We start from the raw sequence: 15,058 nt of genomic DNA, 5'->3' as shown, positions 1-15,058 counted from the left end.
CAATCTTTCCACAAAGACTTTTTTTTTTTAAACCTCTTCCTCTGGGCCAGGTGCTTCACTAGACAGTGGCCAAGGACCTTGCGGTTTGGCTTTCTATCTGCCATGGGGGTTACAAGCACTGGTTCTGGAGTCACAGGCCTAGTTCAAACTCTGGCTCTTTCTGTGGGATCTTGGGCTCCACCTGTTTAGTTTTCTCATCTGCAAAATGGGAATGATAACAATTTCAAAGGATTGTTGTGAGGATTAAATGAGGGAATGCTTGTAACATGTGGCATGTGGTAGGTACTCAGTAAACGTAAGTGCGTTCTATACTGTAAAGTACTATGCAAATGTAAGAATGTTTTACTTGACTGTAATATAAGTATTACATTACTATGATGTGCAGTGGAAATGTTCTGTTATGCTTCTTACTTTTATCCATTATTCCTTTTGATCCATCAGAGGCCAGCAGAAATAGTAGACGAGGAAGAAGATGGAGAGAAGGCAAACAAGGATGCAGAACAGAAAGAAGACTTTTCAGGAATGAATGGTGACCTTGAAGAGGAAGGAGGTAGGGAGGCTACAGATGCCCCTGAGCAAGTCGAGGAGATTCTGGATCACAGTGAGCAGCAGGCACGCCCTGCTCGTGTAAATGGAGGCACCGATGAGGAGAATGGTGAGGAGCTGCAGCAGGTTAATAATGAGCTTCAACTGGTCCTAGACAAGGAAAGAAAGTCTCAAGGAGCTGGCAGTGGACAAGATGAGGTATTTCTATTGCTTTTGCTTGCTTATGTGAATGCATGAATATGTGTGTGTGTACATGCGTGCATTCAGAGAATTAATCAAGTGTTTAGGACTTGTATTGAAACCACTTGTGGTTGAGTAGGAAAGATCCAATACCATTTAATCCCTTTACTTACTAGTTATTTCAACCATTTAACAATACTGCCATTGACCTGACAGTTTGTGTCTGCCCTTCTGCCATTCATACATTTAGCCATTGACCCATCCATCTACTTACCTCCTGCCTAATTTTACAAGAAAATGTACAGAGCCTTCTAAGAACATACATAATCCAAGAAAGAAATATAAAAAAGTAAGAATAAGTTAAGACCAGAGAAGGTAGAAACCAAAAAAGAATATCAAGACCAGTGAGACCTAGACATGAAATAAGGAATACTTTCTCTATTATGAGTGATTTCTTTGATCTCTAGAAGTACTGAAGTTAGTTTGCTTTTTTCTACTTTAAATAGATTAATCAAATTAAGCATTCAACACATTAGGCACTTGGGTAGTATACAGTTCTATTTATTATACAGAGAGGATAAAGAAATATGTGGTGAAAATAAGAGAACAGAAAAAGTAATATCTGGTGAAATCTCTCTTTTCCTAGCCTGTTCTTCTATGTCTGATCCTGGAGTTGGATACTCATCAGTCCTGGCATTCTTCCACGGGACAATATGATCCTGTTGCTGCCAGGCTCAAGTTGAGTCTCACAGCATAAGAGGCAGGATGTTCTCCATAACATTCTCACCATCTGCTTATCCCATCCCTTCCTGTCTATCCGTCAGTTCAAGGTCCACCTCCCTCAAGGCTGTAACTGCTGAAGTGGGCCTTGGACTACTCATTCCTAATACCCACTATGATCACTGAGGTCTACTTGATTATTTATTATTGATGCATCTGATTTATCTTGCTTAGGGAAAGCAAGTTTAGCGGTGGCAAAATGCAAAATGTTCTGGTGGCCAGGTTTCAGTAACAGTACGAAGTTATCTGCAATCCACTATATGAGTTATTCAAAATGTTCTTAACATCTAAATGAAAATGCTCAGCATGTCTCTTATCTTTTCTCAAGGTGAGATAATCATAGTCCTATTCTATAAGAAATTCCCCATATTAGTTCTACATAGTCCTCAGCGTCATTTATATGGCACCTGTAATAGTAGGTTTCATACAACTCTTTGTTGTAGTAGCTTTTGATGAAAGCTTACAAAATGAAATCAAAGTGTAATTCTGTGTGGGACTAGATAGTAAGATCCAACATGATTTTTTTCCAGTGGTCTAGCTTAATTCAACATATCACATAAATAGATTTTACAGAAATGAATGGATTGCCTGTCCTTCCATCTTCCATAAATATAACTTTAAAAAATAATCCTGTAATTTGCAATGACATGAATAAACCTGGAGGACATTATGTTAAGTGAAATTAGCCAACCAAAGAAAGACACATACCATATGATCTCACTTATATGTGTAATCTAAAAACAGTTAAACTCATAGAAGTAGAAGGTAGAATGGTGGTTACCAGGGACTGAGTACAGGGTTGGAGAGATGTTGGTCAAATGATACAAAATTTCTGCGAGAAAGGAGGAATAAGTTCAAGAGATCTATTGTACAGTAAGGTGTCTAACGTATAATAACAATGTATTGTATACTTGAAAATCACTAACAGAGCAGATTTGAAGGGTTCTCACCACAAAAGATAAGTATGTGAGGTAAGGTGTATGTTAATTAACTCAAGCCATTTCACAATGGATACATATTTCAAAACATCATTTTGTATGCTATAAACATACAATTTTTATTTGCCAATTATGACAAATGAATATTTTTTTAAAGGGGAAAAATAGGCTTTTGATAGGAATTGGGCATCCGTCAAGATCAAGGTTATGTAATTTGGCATTGACCTGTGGTATGTAATGAGAGTGAATCTAAATTCTTGGGAATTCAAATAAGGAAGTGCCTAGTTTGTGATTTTTTTTTTTGAGACAACATCTAATTAGGGACTTTTTTTTTGTGACAAGGTCTCACTCTGCTACCCAGGCTGGAGTTCAGTGGCGTGATCACAGCTCACTGCAGCTTTGACCTCCCGGGCTCAAGTGATCCTCCCACTTCATCCTCCTGTGATAGCTGGGCCCACAGGTGCCACCATGCCAGGCCATATATACATATTTTTTAATATGGAGGAAGTCTCCCTCCCTGTGTTGCACAGGCTGGTTTTTAACTCCTGGACTCAAGCGATCCTCTTGCCTTGACCTCTCAAAGTGATGAGATTACAGCCACGTGCCACCATGCCCGGCCTAATTAGGGATTAGTAACAGAGCAGTTACTCACAAAGAGATTTAATCTTATTTGACTCATCTCTTACTTATAACAATGATATATTTTATCTTGTTCTCCCTAACATATTAGTATAGGTATATTTTAAGCATACCGAAATATATGAGAAACCAAATTTATGTGAATTGTAAGTTAAAAATGAATAGTTAACTTTTACAGAAGGACTGTCTACTAATAAAATGACTAGAAATTCTGTTCACCGTGTAACATTTTGTTCCATGTAACAATTCTTGTACAAAGCGAGATATGATTGTAGGAAAATACCAGGAAATACAGAGAATTTACAAGAAACAATTGACATTTATTGAGATTGAACTTGTACTATATTCAAGATACCATTTGAGACATTTCACAAAGGAACAGTGTGAAATAAGACACGGCACCAGTCATATATATATATAATTTCTTCAAAGCATCAGTCATGGCCTGTGTGGTTTGGGGAACCTGGAGCTACTCTGTCCCCCAGACTGGGTGCCCTTGTGGGGGCTGTGGAGCCTCTAGGATTTCATAGAGCAGACTTTGCAAACCTGCTGGTTCTAATCTCACCCACTCAGTTTTCAGTGTAGTCGGGGAAAGGTGAGTTGTACATGAGACAATGTCATTATTAACAGGAAAAACCCAAGTGGCAGGAGCAATAGTTGTTGTTGGAGAAATGCTGCCTCCACATTTTGATTTTCTGTCTTTTTCTTATCTACTTGCTACTTGATGGTACTTGGTACCATATTCACAACGAATTTGTGAATTCTAGGAGGAAACTAAAATTAGGAGAATGTCCCTGAATTTTTTCTTCCTTTGTCTCTGAAAATGCTAAACTGAAAAGTATAACTAAATTGAAGAAAAGCTCAAAGAGAAATCAAGAAAAAATGAGAAAAATAAAGCCTGCAGCATACAAAATGAGTCAGGGCCTTTCAAGCACTAGTAGATTATGAACCCCAAAAGGACTTTTGTACAAGTGTTGAGAAAACAGTATGTCCACTGGGTAATGATAGACAAAAAAACAAAGGGAACCCCAGGAACTCTTTTTAGTTAAATATTTATATAATTAAATAGAATCTTGAGTAATTTTTTCTTTATAAATGTCATTACCTTTGTGAACCAAACAGCTGAATACCTTTGTTTTGATCTATTTTCTTCTAGGCTGATGTAGACCCTCAAAGACCACCAAGGCCAGAAGTAAAAATTACCAGTCCAGAAGAAAATGAAAACAACCAACAAAACAAGGACTATGCTGCCGTGGCTTAGAACATTTTTAAAAAGAGAGTATATGGATCGCAAGAAAAATGAAGGGTTATCATACTTGAAAGATAAGCACATAGTTATTGCTGAATATAATGTGACACTATGGTCGAATACTACCTACGAATTATAACATTAGAAGCCTAGTGGAAAGACCAGATAACTTTAAATGGCTACTAAAGGATAATTACTTACTTTTATTGCATGTGTTTTAAAAGTCATATAGAAATATTAAATAAGACGGACAGAGGAGAATTTGCACTGGAAGACAATTGCCACTTGTAAAGGATGAAAAATAGGATCACTCTTATTGTACGCTTTATTATAAGTTTAGAAGGCAGTTTATTCTAAATAATTTTTCTCTAGGAAGGCGTAGAATTTTAAAGAACTGGTAATAGGAAAGCATGTACTATTTTCTTAAAGCAATAAACTCTTGAATGAACAGATTGCGATTTACTTTCAGACATAATTTGGAGATGGCAGTAGATCAAAATGTGTCCATGACTTGTTAACATGCCTTTCTTTCTTCCTCCTTAGCCAAAATCCACCTTTGAACTACAAAGACAGAGCAAGGCGTTCATTTTGGTGGGAGGAAGCATTGGTTCAGAGTGTTAGTGACTAGTATCGCCATGCCGTCACTTAAATGCTTTCAGGCTTGCATGCTTGTGGCTCCAATGGCGCACACTCAGGAAGGAATTGTAAAGGAGCACCCAGTTATATTATAAAGCCTGGATGTATGGTTTGCAGATAATGGAAATCCTGTGGATTTTCACTGATCCAGTCTATCTTTACCAATAGTATCTCTCTCTTCTCCCTTATGTTATTAGAGAACCTGATATTGGCTATTCCAAAGATTAAATTATTTTCAAATAGTTTTCAACAAAAATAAAAGTGTATTAGGAAGAAAAAAGTAGACTATATGAAGAGTTTGTGACTGCTCAATTTAACTTGTTTTTTGCCTTATTTCTATTAAGACTGTTTTACTATGTTTTTGCCCTAGGGATATCAGCAAATATTTATTTTTCCTAGCATGATATAGTTAGAATTTCAAGCAGATTTCTTTGTAATTAGAAGGCATCTGATAGAAATTGTAAAACTTTAGAAGTTATTATAATGAAACCAATTCCTGAATCACAACTTCATGGACTGACTAAATTGATTTATAGTTGCCTTGTGAGGTATGTATGGGGAAAACATAAAAACATAATTAAAACATAATTTCGTCCTTTTTATGAATTCTTAAGAGATGTTCTTCCATAAATATAGAAATAATATATTTTTCTTAAAGGATATATTTTTAATTATGTGGAAGTTGTAAGCTTGAAATTTTAACTTCTAGTGCTTTTCTAAAATTCACAATTACAAGTTTAAAACATTTTTTCTCTTCCAGGTTTCATTTGGAATAAAGAGTTGGCAGTTATATAAAGCACTTAATAATACTATAGAAAATAGATGTGTTTTTTCTTAATATGATTTTGGTATTTTCCACAGATCAGAAGTGTAAACAGAGAGATAATGTAACAGTATTTGGAAGAGATAATGACACAAGGATATAGTGATCTGGGAGCATGAATTAGAAACAGGGTACTATGTTTCTGGTGTAAAATCTAAATTGTGCTTTCTACTAGCGTTACTTTTTCAAATGGGATGATATAAAGCACTGTGGGCTATAAGCAACAATCTTGGGTTGGTAGGCAAATAGACCAATTGATCTTTATTATTATTATTATTATTATTATTATTATTTTTTGAGATGAAGTCTTGCTCTTGTCGCCCAGGCTGGGTGCAGTGGCATGATCTTGGCTTACTGCAACCTCTGCCTCCTGGGTTCAAGCACCTGAGCCTCCCGAGTAGCTGGGATTACAGGCATCTGCCACCACACCTGGCTAATTTTTGTATTTTTTGTAGAGACAGATGTTTCACCATGTTGGCCAGGCTGGTCTCAAACTCCTGACCTCAGGTGATCCGCCCGCCTTTGCATCCCAAAATGCTGGGATTACAGGTGTGAGCCACAGCACCCGGTCCCAGTTGGTCTTTTAATATTAAATTTGTGCACTATTACTGGGTCTGGAGTTAATGATTTCAAATAGTTTCTAAAAATAACTGATTAAATGTAAGAAATTATAACTAATTATCAAGGTGATTCTCTTTTGTTTCTTCAATGGAGAGTTTCTCTTTCTCTTTTCCTCCTCTAATAAAAATATTTCTTTTTTTCCTGTCCTTTTATTCATTATATTATGAAACTTAGGTTTTAGGAAACACCTTAAGCGTCATTTTAATGAAGCACAACATTGATATTTTACATGAATAATAACGTTTGGTATTTTAAATATACTTCAAGGGGGTAATAAGCCACAATAACTGTACCAAAAAAACTTAAAAATGGGGACATATTCATCCCTTGTGTGTGCATATTTTACCACTTGTTGACAAGATACAATTGTGACCTACTTTGAGGGGATGAATAACGACTTATCACTTTAAGACACTTTGCAAACATGTTACTAAAAAAAGGTGCCTAGCCAAGGAAAAAACCATTCACTTGGAATTAAAATTGTGGATGTCACTTCAGAGATGACTTTAACATAAATGCTGAAAGTTCATTCACCTCACAAATGTGGCAGTTTTCTCTGTGGAGAATGGTGGTCTCCGTGGCAGACTGGCTCTCCAAATTAAATGAAACTCATTGACAGACCTGGGACCTTTTATGTGAGTGGACAGACAAGATCTTGGTTTGGCTTCATGTACTGTTTTCTAGAGAGAGTGCTACGAAAAACTTATGATGCTTTTATGTGATAACCAATATAATGCTTTAATATGTTAATTCTTTGTGATGCTATATACATAGTTTTTATAGTTTTATGAAACCACTTTGTTAAACTTATCTGGATTTTAAGACACTTGTAAACAAATGGTTTGTTAGTAAAATTGGGGCATTAAGAGTTTTACAGAGCAAATAAAGAAGATTTTGACAAAAGTCATTTTGAGGCTAAGGGTGTTTTACCTGGGTTAACTTCTGTTAAAATAGCTATTGAGTGCCCATTGACTTATAAAATACGATACTATGACCATAAAATAACTTTTTACTTCTTATTCTTCTCTATGACCTTAGGATGACTTTATTTTTTTAAGACATTTTTCCTATATGTTTTTGGGGGAATGTTAGGTTGCCACACTCATAGGAAAAGTGTGATGCTATCATGCCTCCTGTTTTATTGTAAAGGTGTGAATTCTTGCTATGTGGTGTGTGAAGACAGAACTATCCCATACATACGTGGTTCAGAGTGAGATATCTCTAGGCTCACAGTTGTGAACCCATATTAATATGGTATTATTCCTGCCAACTCTTCCAATTTATAGCTCATAAACTAACATCCTAAACATTGTCATTGAATGACCTACCTTATACACAAAGGATAAAGTTCATTCACCTAGAAAAAAATCTGTGCATTTAAATTAGTGGCCGCAAGACAACAGGAAGCTTTCTTTCATTTTTTGTTCAACAAACCTTGCAAAAGCAAAGTTTAAAAAGTAGATTAATTCATCAACAGAAAGCATCACATGGAAACTGTGGCCAATCTGAAGAGAAATATAGCATGTAGACATAGATATGTATCAAATACTTATACAGATGCACTCACACACTTTAAAACATTAAAAAGGCCTCCTGAGGCACAGCGTTATTAATAAAACAAGGCTCTTTTGGGTGAAGTTGAGAGAAGCAATGAGTTAAAACGTGAGAGGAAATGCTAAGAAATGATATATATTATGGTGCTTTAAATCTTGATTTCCTAAGACTTTAAGAGATTTAAAATTCTTCTCCAAATAAGAAACCAGCATGTCAATGAAAAATGTATTCTAGGGAGGTGTTGAAACAAATCCGGTTTTTAAAATGTGATATATCACATAAACCAAAACAGAAACCAAGACATATCTTGTTTTCCTGAAGTAACTACAGAGCATGGTTCTTTTCCATCAACCTTAAGCACGATACATTTCAGGTGTAGATTCTTTTATACCAATACAGATTCTGTTATTACTGTTTGTGACCATGTGTGTGCATGTGTGATTTACATAGATGTGTCAGGACTCTTTTTCATACCAGTTAGCCGGGGTATCACAAATAGAATGAAAGACTGACTTATTGGTCCATTAGTTTATATAATGTTCAGGTTCAGTGCGGAAGCATTTTGGCATTCTTCAGGAATGAAACCATTTTTAAAAGGTTAGTCTGTTACTCTAAGATGATGAACACATACAGTTCTTTGTCATTAAATATCATTTTTGTAAATACCACAAGATTTTTCCTCTTTAAAACATATCGGGACATTTAGATGGGACTGATTTTTGTTCTCCCTACATGAAATTTGTATATTTCCTCCCATGAAGTTTGAGTGACATGAATGGGGAATACAAGAGTGTTCCCTTATGTTGATAAGGAAAAAGATACTGTTTTTTGAAGAGGCATAACATCCTGTAGGAGATGGGGAGTTAGGACAGTTTTTAAAAATGCCTGGATTACCATAAGGCATTTATAAAATGAGGAGGTGTAACCAGTGGAGCTCTGTTGACTTAACGCCAACAACGACTTCAGCTTTACTCTAAGAATGGGACCAGATGAATTCTCTGTAGTTTCATCAGCTTGAACGATATAGTTTGTTTCATTTATTGTCACGAATGCAATGACATATGGAAAGAGGGAATGATTGTAGTCATTCTTAGGAGAATTTTCGAGAAAGCCTGTTTTGTCTTTTGCTTCAGTGTTTTTTCTTGTGCCTTAAATCTTTAATGGGTACAATGATAATGGGTGATTGTTGATGTAAGTAAAGATTAGATTGAAGGCCAGCACGGTGGTTCACACCTGTAATCCCAGCACGTTGGGAGGCTGAGGCGGGTGGATCACGAGGTCAGGAGATCGAGACCATCCTGGCTAACATGGTGAAACCCCGTCTCTACTACAAATACAAAAAAATTAGCCAGGCGTGGTGGCGGGTGCCTGTAGTCCCAGCTACTCAAGAGGCTGAGGCAGGAGAATGGCGTGAAGCCAGGAGGCGGAGCTTGCTGTGAGCCGAGATCGCGCCACTGCACTCCAGCCTGGGCGACAGAGCGAGACTCCGTCTCAAAAAAAAAAAAAAAAAGAATGTCTCTTTAAGGAAAATTATTTGTATTTTGATCAATTATGAGCATTTAGGTTTTTCTGTATCATTGCACGCTCTAAAATGACTGAAGTTCACTCTATCTTTTGAGCAAGGAGACCTACATTTTATATAATCAAAATGTGTTTAGATGGTTTATTGCTTGTTTAGGATGTTGTGTTGCTAATATTTCATGTATTAATCCTTTTTATGGCATTTTTTTCACAAACACTAGAAACATTTTTGACTTAAAATCATGTAGAAATTCAGCACATTAAAAGATACGTCTGTTTCTGTTTGGCATGGATATTCAGCTTCATTATGTAAAGAAATTTTTTTACAGTTTCACATGCATGATATTTATTTGATAAAAATTTTAGGTATATTCAAAAGTCACCATTATTTCTTTTATGAAACATAGGTGCAGAATTTTTATTATAAAGGTATATTTTAAAACAGAATAGATTACACATATTACATGCATTTTGTGTACATATGTCTATAGGAATCAATTTACAATTTTCCAAAAACATCTTGCTTTAGTTTGTGGATATTCACTGCTTTCATTCTATTTTTAATTAAATAGTTTTGCTATTTTCTCTATGCATGTTTGAGAAACCAAAACAGTTAAGCACAAGCATTTTGATTTATTGATATATAATAACAAATGTGTGATTGAATCCCATGACTAAGAGTACATTAATATATTTCTTGTGCACATGATCAGTTTATCTTTGTTATTCCATATGAGTTAAAAAAAAAAAAAAGCCTCCACAACAAATGAGGCATCTAAATTGCCAGAGTCAAATCTCTTTAGACTACGTGGTTAATTGACATTAGAAACTTTCTACCACCAACAATGTAATTTCTACAAGGTATTGCAAAATTGCTAGCATGCATTTTGTTGTAAAATACTTATTTATGAAAATAAACAGCTTTCCTGCAGGTCTCCAAGTGTTTTTTCTCCCCCTAGTGGGACTCTAGTCTATTAAAGCCTTGTATAGGATTCTCAAATGCCCTCATAATCAAATTCAGTCCTTCATTAAAAAGAGAAATGATACAGGATATCCTACACTTATTTCACTTTTGGTTGATTTAACAAATTCATTGCTTTAGTAGTAACAGAATCATTTTAAAAATGCAAAGACAAATATACATTAAGTTCAAAACTAGATGAAGCAACTCCCATTGGTTACACTATATTCTTTTTGGCTACAGATAACTATTAGGATTGTCCTAGTTCTCTTTTAATTTCTGGCTGCTAATTTAGTGGCTTCTCTTAATTCTTTCAATCCCTAAGATCTCCCTGAGCAATCTCATTCACAGTCATGATCTTAACAGCTACCTATGTGCTTTCGACTTCCAAATCTGCATCTCCCGGTCGGGCTTCTCCCTGGGAGCTGCAGATCCATGTATACAGCACTCAGTTGTATATCCCGTAGTTACTTCCAACTTAAATGTTCTTGTCTCTTGAAAATTTCTGTTCAACATGTTGTTGATTTCTATAAGTGAATCTTGTATTCGGTACCTTACTGAACTTTTTTTTTTTTTTTTGTACTGGAGTCTTGCTTTGTCACCAGGGTGGAGTGCAGTGGTGCAATCTCGGCTCACTGCCACCTCCGCTTCCCAGGTTCAAGCAATTCTCCTGCCTCAGCCTCCTGAGTAGCTGGGACTACAGGCGCCTGCCACCATGCCTGGCTAATTTTTGTATTTTTAGTAGAGACGGGGTTACACCATGTTAGCCAGGATCGTCTCGATCTCTTGACCTTGTGATCTGCCCGCCTCAGCCTCCCAAAGTGCTGGGATTACAGGCGTGAGCCACCATGCCCGGCCCTGAACTTCTTAGAAGTGGTTTGTAGTTTCTGTAGGACTTTAATGAAGACTGTAATATTATCTGCAAAAGTAACATTTGTTTTTTCCTGTTTCAATCCTTAAAATAGCTACTTTTTTTCCTATTGAACAAGCTATAACCACTAGCACATATTGGATGGAAGCAGCAATGGCAGATATTTTTGTCCTAACATTAAGGGAATGCTTCTAGTATTTAATATTAAGTGTGATGTTTGCTTATGTTTCTGGTAGATGCCTTATATCAATTTGCTCCTAGTTTTCTAAGAGTTATTTTATTTGAAAACTCTGAAGGAGTTTATGAACTATGAATTTTATAAAACTCTGTATCCATTAGGATTCTTATGTTTCTCCTTTAGTTTTTTAAATGTTGTAAATTACATTACTTTTTTCTCTAATGTTAAACTGTTCTCACATTCTTAAGACAATAATTGGTTATATATATAATTTTTACATGTTTCTGGATTTGATTTGCTAATATTTAGAATTTTTATACCTGTTTGTAAATAGAATTGATCTATTTTGATTGTTTTCATACATCCTCTTTTCTGGTTATAGTAGTAAGGTTGAGTTAGCTTCATAAAATAAGGAAGAGGGCTTTCCATTCTTTCCTACTCACTAAAACATTCGTAGGTTTGAGTCATCTCTTTCTTGAGTGTTTCATTACTTATAAAACTGCCTCAGCTTGGTATTGTGTGTGTGTGTGTGTATGATTAAAGTGGTTTTTCTTTTTTAAAATTGAATTTCTTTTCTGGTTACCTGTCTATTCAGGTTTTCTGTTTATTGAATTGGCAATCTATATTTCTTTAAAAAATTGTTAATTTCTTTCATATTTTCAAATTTATTTGCCAAAAGTTATTTATAGTATTTTTAGAACTTTTAAAAACTTTTGCCTAAATGTAATAATGTTCTCTTTTTCCATTTCCAATATTGTTTACATCTGCTTTTCTATTTCTTCAATATTGCCAGATATTTGTTTTTATTAATGTTTTTTAAAGCAATACATTTTTGATCCTCTGTACTGTTTATTTTTTTCTATTTCCTTATTGCTCTTATCACAAATATTTCCTTTCTTCTGCTTTCTGTGTGTTTTCTATAATTCCTTAAGTTGAATGCCTTTCTAATTACATTTTGGCTTTATTCATTTCTAACATGCTTTTGAGGCTATAAATTTGCTAGTGTGTATCATATTAGCTATAACCTCAGATTTTGATGTAAATTATTCTTTTATGGTCATTTGGCTTTAAATAGGTTTTGTAATTTTCTGTTTGTTCGTAGACTCACAGGTAAATGCGTGCAGTGAGTGCTCTACCCAGATCCCATTTCACTTGGCTGGTGTGTCCACCCGTCAAATGCTATGGGTGTTCTTTAACTTTAGCACGGTCACTATAACTATGACAAATCCTTGCACTGGCAGGTGGCACATAGGTGACCAAGATGCCACAACCACACCTAGGGATGCTTTTTCATCACCCTCGAGTGACTGTTTACTTGCTTCAGAGAATTGCCCGCAGTCAAACAGAAGCTGCCTTGGCCAGGAGGTTCCCTTCTTGCATTAATAGCTTGCAGTCAACAACAGACCTAAAAGGAAGGAAAGATGTCATCCTTTTGCCTCAAGGTGGGACTAACTCTGATGCAGTGTGTGCATCAGAGTTGCACACTCTGCATCCCTTTGCCTCAAGGTGGGATCAGGCTGCTGGTACTTTTCAACTACATCTTGCAATACTTTCAGTCTGCATCTTGGGCCACATCTTGCTTTACTTTCCCCTCGACCCTGTCCTGCTTCTCCCACTCCTCTTATGAACCATCCTTCAATAAATCATAGAAGAATCCCCATCTCAGGTTCTGCATCTAGGGGGCCCAACCTAAGAAAGGGTATCAGAATAGCTTAGGCTTTGGAAATAGATTTTCAGGATGGAATTCTGGGAATGGATAACTTGCTGGCCTGACAGCAATGGATATCTCATCACTGGAGGTAAATCGAGTTTTGATAGTCTCTGGCAGGTTGTAGCAGTGTGATTGCGAAGATTTTCATCTGTGGCAAACTGGGACAGTATATAGGTTGAAAGGGATGCACTAGCTAGTGCAATGCCTGTGGAGTTTGGAGTGTATTCCAAAAAGGGACTGAGACAGATCTCAGTCGCTTAGAGGTTTATTTTGCTAAGGTTGGGGACATGCCTGGGAATAGAAACAAAAGTTACTGTGACTGGTGTTTTTTCCATAAAGGATTTTGCAAATTTCGGTATTTAAGAGGAAAGAGCAAGCAGGAGGGGAAGAAAAAAGGGAGGGAGGGTAAGCATAAGGCAAGTGATTATAGTCTTGTGAGCCTTTGAGTAGCACTCAGTGAATCTACATTTTACTTGCGATGAAAAAGAGAGTAGGGGAAAAAGTCAATTAGGCATTTGTCTCACACTCAGTAAATCTATATTTTACATAAAGTAAGCATGTGAAATTACAGCTATCTGGGAACAAAAGGAAAGCAGTTTTTTGTTGTTGTTGTTTGTTTTTTTTTTGGTGTGACTCAGTTCCCAAGCTTAACTTTCCCTTTGGCATAGTGAGTTTGGGGTCCTGAGATTTTATTTTTCTTTCACAGGAGGTAGGTGGAGAAATAGTAACTCTAAGGCATATTATGGAATTAGGTTGCTTTCACTAAGCACACTTTAAGGATTGAAAAAGAAATGACAGACTGAAATCTATTAATCAACAATTCAAAGCCAAGTGTGAAATTCAGAGGACTTCACTGGTAACACTTAAAAGAATACCTTTCTCCCACATTCAAAAGCAGATAGAGCTGAAGATCAGAACTAGGACTTAATAAGAGATACTGAATTCTCAGCCTAGGCAAGTTTCCCCAATGTCAAGTCCTTAATGGGGAAGGATTAGAACCTCAGGACTTGGTGTGGGACAATCAGGGTACATGCACTTGAGAACTTTGAACCTCCTCCAGTTTCCTCTGAACCTTTGCATGTGTGGAAATGACCCGTTCTCCTTTGTTGGAAGGTAGAGGCCCCTCGTTACCTGAAGTCTATGCAGGGGCCTCAAATGGGAGCAGAGCCCACTTACTAGACAATGCTTACTCTCCTGCAAGAAGCAGGGTGGCATGCCTAGAGTTAATTCTTAGGCAGTTGGATCAATTAGAGGAAGAATATATAACTGGATGAGGAAGAGTTTGTAAATTTGGAGCCATGCCCTGGTGACACAAGATTTAACACCCCCAGCAAGGGTCCTGAAAGACATCTCGTGTGCTGCTGGCATGACTCTTGGAGGATTGCAAAAAGCACAGGTTCCAATTACATGAAGTAGAGATTCCAGACTGTGATGGCAGACTATGGAGGAGGGGATCAAAAGGCACATTGATATGAGCATGCCAGAATGAGTCTTCTATATAAAACAGAGAATGTTAGGAGAGCTTGCAGGCACAACATTTGTCAAGGTGATCAGTGTGCTGGTGAACACCAGCATTTTAGAGAAGCTCAGTGGTGGCTATACTTTTGTAGGCAAGGGTGGAAAGTAGGAGATGTCATTGGAAAACTGGGTTCTCTAGCAGCAATAAAGATAACGGGGGTCCCAGAATAGCACTTAACCATCAGAAACAAGGTGGGAATTATTATGGGCAGCAATATTGGAATGACAGCCAGAAGGCCTTGACTTGCAGGATCTGTAAAGATGGTCAACAGGATATGTTGTTTCTAAAGTCAAGATGTATGGGCAGCTATTATGGGTGTGCTTAATATATA

General features: G+C 36.6%; 1 protein-coding gene and 1 non-coding gene across 3 annotated transcripts in view; one reads left to right on the top strand and one right to left on the bottom strand.

Annotated features, from left to right (window-relative positions):
* The window catches only part of DCDC2 (doublecortin domain containing 2), a 211,538-nt gene extending 204,219 nt beyond the window's left edge, over positions 1-7,319 (top strand). For both annotated transcript variants that reach the window (NM_001195610.2, NM_016356.5), the window contains 2 exons: positions 442-744; positions 4,240-7,319. In NM_001195610.2, coding sequence (NP_001182539.1) covers positions 442-744; positions 4,240-4,344 — 408 coding nt within the window. In that variant the 3' untranslated portion in view covers positions 4,345-7,319. The remainder of the gene's footprint in view (positions 1-441; positions 745-4,239) is intronic.
* Positions 12,700-12,801, bottom strand: LOC124900220 (small nucleolar RNA SNORD46). Its single transcript, XR_007059946.1, has one exon. It is a non-coding gene; the product is annotated as a small nucleolar RNA SNORD46 (small nucleolar RNA).
* Positions 12,802-15,058: the final 2,257 nt, after the last annotated feature.

This window comes from Homo sapiens, chromosome 6 (genome assembly GCF_000001405.40).
Source record: "Homo sapiens chromosome 6, GRCh38.p14 Primary Assembly".
Lineage (NCBI taxonomy): Eukaryota > Metazoa > Chordata > Mammalia > Primates > Hominidae > Homo > Homo sapiens.
This window is presented reverse-complemented; position numbering and strand designations above follow the sequence as displayed.